Consider the following 7,695-nt stretch of genomic DNA (forward strand, 5'->3'; position numbering starts at 1 on the left):
AGGCGGACACAGGAGATGACTCAATCCCAATTTAGGTTTTGGGGACAGAAGGGCTGACCGTCCCGGGGATGTGGCCTTGAGTGTTCTCTGTACCCCGTGCAATTTTCCACAGGAGCCTTGGCAGAGAGCTGCTGTCAGAGTCTGGGGCTTGGTCCATCCAGAGCTGGGCAGCATCACCTCCCATGCCCTGCCCAGTGCTGCCTGGGCTTAGAAGCTGGCATGGGCTCTTGGTGCAGGCATGCACACACACACCAGCAATGAGGTCCACACATCAGTCGCCCCAAACTCAAACCCCTGGACTCTCGCACGCCAGATGAGAGCATGCTACGGTTCTTCAGTTATGTTGAGAAAAGACGTAAATAGCAATAATCTTGAAACAATGTTAGGGAAATAAAAGCACAAGTGTAAGCCAGAAAAGAAGTCAGCTGTCAATATAACAACAAATATAAGAACAAAATCAGAAGCCCGGGTGTGGTGGCTCATGCCTGTAATCCCAGCACTTTGCGGGGCTGAGGCAGGCGGATCACGAGGTCAGGAGTTCGAGACCAGCCTGAACAACATGGTGAAACCCTGTCTCTGCTAAAAATACAAAAATTAGCTGGGCATGGTGGCATGCGCCTGTAACCCCAGCTACTCAGGAGGCTGAGGCAGGAGAATCACTTGAACGTAGGAGGCAGAGGTTGCAGTGAGCCGAAATCGGGCCACTGCACTCCAGCCTAGGCGACAGAGTGAGACTCCGTTTAAAAAAAAAAAAAAAAAAAAGAACAAAATCAGAATGTGTAACTTTCAGGGGTAGCAGAGAAATTTTGAACTATTCAGAGGAAGTTTAAAAAAAGGAAGAAAAAAGAAACAAATAAAATATAGAGAATTGAAAATGTAAAATAAGATGAGAGAAACAAATCTGCTATATGAACAACTATAATTTGGGGAAGATTGAAGTGAGTGTGCATATCCCTGAGACTGGTGAGGAACGTGTGCGTGGACATGAACATGTGGATGGGATGCCCAGGGGTGCATACAGAGCTGGGAGGGGGAGCCAGGGCGTGGGCCATGGGCAGGCTGCCCCCCCGCAGCCTTCCCTCCCATATACCTCCTATCGGGGAAATTCAGGAATCCCAAGCTCTGTAGAACTTGGCCTTCTACATCATTAGGCAGTCATCTCTACCAAGGAAGGAGGAGAGAACTTTTTAAATGTACTTTTAAAATTGTTTATTTAAACATTTTTTACTTATCAAATTAAAGTTTGTGGGTTTGATGTATAACTTTTAAATATTTGGACATGTGTGAGAGTGTCTTTGAGCATCATGTGTGGGCCAGGCAGTGAGGGCCCTGAGACGTGGGCAGATCCTGGCAATCCAAAGAGCAGATCCAGCTGGTCTTGCTAGGGGACTGGAGCTGGGGAGTCAAAGAAAGGGGGGCCCATGGACCCACAGTGGACTCAGTTGCCACCACAAGGGATAGGGAAGGCCGTGTGTGGAGTGGATTTGGGGAAGAGCATTCAGGATTTCACTGTTGGGAATGCTGATCACGAAACATCCACGGGAGCTGCCAAGTAGGCATTTGGATGTGTGGGTCTCCAGGTCAGGAGAGGGTCCCAGGTAGACTTCCATTCATGGACAGCAGCAGGCAAATGGAATTTACAGCCATCATAGATGGGGACAGCAGCAAGCATGTGACTGTAGACAGAGAAGAAGAGGAGTGAGGACTGAGCCCTGGAATCTTCCGATGTTAGCCAGTAACTCACTTTACTCAATGCATCACACATTCAGGTATTTGAAGTATATTTTTAAGGGTCTTGTAAGAGGTTGGAGAAAATCTAACGCTATTCAAAGCTAACTGGAGTCTATTGAAATTCTCTGAAAAGTTTTAAAGTAAAACTGTTTCTTCTATCAATCTCCTTGATTTCAACAAGGTTTTCTTAACTTTTTAAAGCAAATTCCAGAATGTTTTGCACAAAATTAAAATTAAAGGGTGTTGCCTGTGGGCACCTTAAAGAGTCTCTTTGATAAGTCTGCATATTGGCTTATTGCTCAAGAGAGATAAGTTGGGCTCCCCAATTTTTATAACATACTGTCAACTCTGTAGTCACACTGTCTATTTCATGTCGTTGCTTGTTAGAAACAGACTATCCGCACTGAGCAGAAAGTACCAGTAACTATTCTCTGCTGCAGCAGCTGCCCATGATGCATTGCGTGGTGAGCCCTCGCCCTCAGTTTTCTGCCAGGTATCTCTCTGCCCTGCTTCCTCTGGGCTCTCCCTGAAGTTGGGGGACACTCAATCATCACAAACCTTGAGATGGAGGAGGGTAAAATGCCCAGGAAAATCATCAACCAATGGAAAAGAAAATGCAGTGAATTAATTCCCTGGGCTGGTTGCTCCTGCCTTAGCCTCCCAAAGTGCCAGAGGAACACTTGAGGCCAAACGTTCGAGACCAGCCTGGCCAACATGGTGAGACCGCCCCCCTGCCGTCTCTGCAAAAAATGATACTAAAAATTAAGTGCCAGCCACCTTTGTCTAGCGAGACATGTTCTGTGTGAATGGGGTCCCGGTGAACAGAGACCTAGTTGTGCACCCAGGAACGAGCTCATGAACATACCCTATTCTGACTTTCCTCCCTTCTGTCTTACTTTTCTAGCCACTTCCTTTGGTACCAGTCCCAAATAAAGTATCTGCTCAGGTATCTAAGGAAAGATACTCCTATTAAATAGCACAGGCTCAACTTTATTTTGAACTCTCTAGAAGGATATTACCATATAGGTAGTGTGGAAGATTATCAAATGAAAAGATCTTGTATTACTGTACTAGCTTCAGGCCTTTGCAGTGGCTATTTGCTCCACCCTAAATGTTCTTTCTCGAGATGGTTCACTCCCTCACATCCCTCGCAATGGAAATTCAAATGTCACCCTCCTATGTGGCCTGGCCAGGCCATCTTGGAGACCAGCACACCTCACCCTATGTCACTTCTCTTGTAATTTTTCTTCATAGCATCATCTGACATCATATATGTTTTATTAGTTGTTTGCCTACAAAAGCAAAAAGGACAGGGGTTTTACCTATTTTTTACACCAATATATCCAGCTTTGCCCACAATAGACTTGGTACAAATAGGCACTCAAATTTTTGTCAAAGCAAAATTTATAGGGCAATATTTGTCTAAAGGATATGGCCAGAAACATGCTTTTTTCCTTCAAGATATTTTTTAAAATCTTCCAGTAAGCATTATACATTTATTGTGGCATCTTTTCATGTTGCGGGAAGACAGGAATCCCGAACAGAGGGACTGGCTGAAGCCATGGCAGGAGAACATAAATTGTGAAGATTTCATGGGCATTTGTTAGGTCTCCAAATTAATACTTTTATAATTTCTTACGCCTGTCTTTACTGCAGTCTCTGAACATAAACTGTGAAGATTTCATGGACATTGATCACTTCCCCAATCAATATTCTTATAATTTCCTATGCCTGTCTTTACTTTAATCTCTTAATCCTGTCATCTTCGTAAGCTGAGGATGTATGTCGCCTCAGGACCCTGTGATGATTGCGTTAACTGCACAAGTTGTTCGTAAAGCATTTTTGTTTGAACAATATGAAATCTGGCCACCTTAAGAACAGGATAACAGCAATTTTCAGGGAACAAGGGAGATAACCTTAAAGTCTGGCTGCCTGTGGGCCAGGCAGGACAGCCATATTTCTCTTATTACCAAAAACGGGTAAGAGAAATATCACTGACTTTTTTCCCTGGTAAGGAATATTAATAATTAACAGCCCTGGGAAAAGAATGCATTCCCCGGCAGAGGGGGGCCTCTAAAATAGCCACTCTGGGGGGTGTCTGCCTTGTGCAGTTGCAGATAAGGGATGAAACATGCCCTGGCCTCCTGCAGCACCCCCAGGCTTGCTAGGATTAGGAAATTCCAGGCTGGCAAATTCTAGTCGGACCGGTTCTCTGCTCTTGAACCCTGTTAAGATGTTTATGACAATGCGTGCACAGTGGGACGTGGAACTTCATTAGTAATTCTAGTTTTGCCCTGACCTTGTGATCTCGTCCTGACCTTCTGCCTTGTGATCTTTTGTTGCCCTTGAACCATGTGATCTCTGTGACCCACACCCTATTTGTACACTCCCTCCCCTTTGAAAATTGCTAATAAAAACTTGCTGGTTTTACAGCTCAGGGGGCATCACGGAACCTGCCGACATGTGATGTCTCCCCCGGACACCCAGCTTTAAAATTTCTCTCTTTTGTACTCTTTCCCTTTATTTCTCAGACCGGCCAACATGTAGGGAAAATAGAAAAGAACCTATGTTGAATTATCGGGGGCTAGTTCCCCCGATATTTTTGTGTTGGCTAAATTTAATACTCAGTTATAGCAATTTTTTTGAGACAGGGTCTCACTACGTTGCCCAGGCTGGCACAGTGGTACAATCTCGGCTCACCACAACTTCTGCCTCCTGGGCTCAAGCTATCCTTCCACATCAGCCTACTGAGTACTTGGGACTACAGGCATGACCCCACACCTGGCTAATTTTTTGTTTGTTTTTTGTAGAGACAATGTCACTATGTTGCCTAGGCTGGTCTCAAACTCCTGGGCTCAAGCGATCCACTTGCCTTGGCCTTCCAAAATGCTGGGATTACAGGCATGAGCCATCATGCCCAGCCAGTTATAGCAATTTTCTTATCATTTGGTTTAGCATTCAATAAATGCTAGTTAATATTTCTGTTGACAAATATTTTCAGAGTTAGCAGATAACTAGACAGAGGAAATCAGCCTAAGTGAAACAAATGACAATTTGACCACTAATACATTTAAATTTGCTAAAGTCAAATACATTTCAGTGTATTAAAATAGATTTTCATCTCGGTTTTAAAGGTCTCTGGTGAAAGACCCCAGATAGATGTGGAAATGTTTTGAAGTAAAGTCAGTGCTGGACATAAGTTCTCAGATCTGATGGGTGAACTCACTTAGATCGAAGCAACGTGGGATCAAAGCCACTTACAAAATTGCAGTACACTCTGAATTTTAGAATAAAGACATTCTTAGGGACACATAAATAAAATCACACTGTTCTCTGAAGTTAGACTGTCATGTAGATGGTTGGTGCCAATTAACGTTATTACTGGTAAATGTTCTACTGAGGAGGACAGATTAAACCATCTGTTTAGACTGTGAGATATTCCTTCAGCAGTGAGGTAGGAATCCTTCCTGCCACCTTTTAACAAAGGACAATATCATTCTGTGTCTTACTGGTATACACGTTATGAAAGATTATTTCACTTCCTTACACATGCTCAATGGGGTTTCCAAGTTTCCAGAAATGTTTTCTTCTTCCTAAGAAAATTAGTTCTTATCCATCTTAAATATTTTCTTACCAATTCATTGAGGTTCTCAAAACAATGAAATGAATCATTGAAGAAATGCTCCTACACAGACAGAAAAACACCTATAATTCTTGCTGATCAGAGTTCTTTACAGAGGAAATTCCAGAATACATGTTAGTCTGCAGAGTACTCCTAAGATCTTCTAAAGGGCTATTAATTTAAAAATACATAAACAAAATAATGTCAATACAATTTTCCTCAGCCCCTCCTAGAGGCCCCTGGCTCATTTGTTTGTAAACACCTTTTCCCTGCTGTTCTCATGTTAGCATATCTTCGCATCGTTACTATAGTTGGTATCATTTTGTTTATGATTTTTTTTATTTTTACACACACAAAAATATTTTGCTATATCACTAATTTTTTGTGTTGGCCAAAGCATTTCACGGAGAAGAACACACACACATGCACACACACACACACAGAAATGTCGCCTTTTATCATAAACATGGTAGTTGAAGAATGATCAGAAATCACCTTTCTGTTCTCAGGGATTTATAGAAACATAATGAAAACCCAAAACAGGAAGCATTGCTTTTTCTGCAAAGAGGAGATTCCCATCGTATGAGGTCTTGACACAGTTATTCTATTTTCTTTGAAGTAAATGTGAGTTTGTGTGTTTAATTCCACTCTGGGGCTTTCCTGTTTCTTTTTATAGAGTGTCTCTACTTCCATCAAATATGGCTTTTCACATGTTTTTTACTTTAACTGTGGCTTTATGGGAATAAGATTCTTAACCAAGTATATACAGACAATTTCCTGTAAAGTTTCCTGACTTTATGCAGGTCTCCATTATGAACACTGATTGATAAAAATCTACTAAGAGAAATTGTAGTGCCTGTCATCCCCGCTTCACCCTAAACTCATTTCCTGCCAGGCCAAACTCTTGAAATAGTTCAAGCACAGTAATCCTAAGAATACAACAAATTACGTGCTGATCTCATTGGAGAGCATTAAGTTTGTGGTTTGCCAGGAGTTCATTTCTAAGTAATGCTAAGATAGATCACTTGCCAAAAAAAATAAAAAATAAAAAAAGCTATTTAATGTTTCAGTTGAGCAGTGATTTATTTTCAAAAATATTTCCAGATGTTCCAATTCACCTACACTTTATAAGGCCACATTTCTAAAAGCAAGTGGCATTGACTTCCAGCTACTCCATCAAGTTATCCACTTTTGTTTAATTCGTTGAAAGAAAGATGCCTATTTATCTCACCTCAGGGTCTTCTTGGTGCGGGAAGTCCCCAGGGTAGATGTCCTGAGAGTCAACAGTGAAGCCGCATGGGGAGACTTGTGCCACATCTGCTTCCAGTCAGTCCCTCTGCTGAGGGCCACAGGGCCGCTGCTGCTCGTGAGAATTCCGGCTCTCATGGCCTCCCACTGCCAAAGAGAAGAAAGGGCCAAACTGCCAAGTGACCTTCATCATACCACATGCTTCTCAGTGTAAACACGTTCCTGGGGACGTATACTAAAGTCAGAATGGTATACCTTTCCTTCATTCCACTGTCAGAGAGTATGTATGCATTCCTCAGACTGGGGTTTTAAACCTTGGCTCTCGCTCAAATGTGAAGTAATCAGAAGTGATATGTTGATAAATTGTCTACTTGTTTGATGTAAGCAGGGAAAAGCCATTTTCCATGTAGAGTTTGAAAATCATACTTAGTTTACTTACACTAAGTACAAAGAAAGTTCCACCCTCCTACTGAATAGGAGACTTATTGAACCTGCTGCTTGACAGTTGCTTAAAAATATTTTAATATTAGCTGTAGGCTCCTAGAAACAAAAAGTGTATTTATAAAAAAATTACATTTTAGGCCAGGCACGGTGGCTCACACCTGTAATCCCAGCACTTTGGGAGGCTGAGGCGGGTGGATCACGAGGTCAGGAGAACAAGATCATCCTGGCTAACATGGTGAAACCCCGTCTCTACTAAAAATACAAAAATTAGCTGGACGTGGTGGTGGGTGCCTGTAGTCCCAGCTACTAGGGAGGCTGAGGCAGGAGAATCGCTTGAACCCAGGAGGTGGAGGTTGCAGTGAGCTGCGATCACGCCACTGCACTCCAGCCTGGTGACAGAGCTAGACTCTGTCTCCAAAAAAAAAAAAAAAAAAGACATTTTATAAAATGATCTTTCTCTGCAGAAAGCTGGCTAGTAATGGATATTCAGTGGGTTAATTATACTTACTGTAAATGGGATTCTAATTTACTGACATTAAGTGCACATTGCTTTTGGAGTAATATCCAATTAATACATTACCCATTAAGAGTCCTCTTCACAGGGCCTGTAATGCCTACTGCACAGTTCACTGACTTAAGTGTACAGTGTG

The 7,695-nt window shown here is 42.4% G+C and overlaps 1 long non-coding RNA gene across 1 annotated transcript; it reads right to left on the bottom strand.

Moving 5' to 3' along the window:
• Window positions 1-1,194: 1,194 nt before the first annotated feature.
• On the bottom strand, window positions 1,195-6,885 carry LOC124901636 (uncharacterized). The gene is made up of 2 exons (XR_007060327.1): window positions 6,585-6,885; window positions 1,195-1,676 (listed from the first exon to the last, which is right to left on the bottom strand). It is a non-coding gene; the product is annotated as an uncharacterized LOC124901636 (long non-coding RNA).
• Window positions 6,886-7,695: the final 810 nt, after the last annotated feature.

Source organism: Homo sapiens, chromosome 7 (genome assembly GCF_000001405.40).
Source record: "Homo sapiens chromosome 7, GRCh38.p14 Primary Assembly".
Classification (NCBI taxonomy): Eukaryota; Metazoa; Chordata; class Mammalia; order Primates; family Hominidae; genus Homo; species Homo sapiens.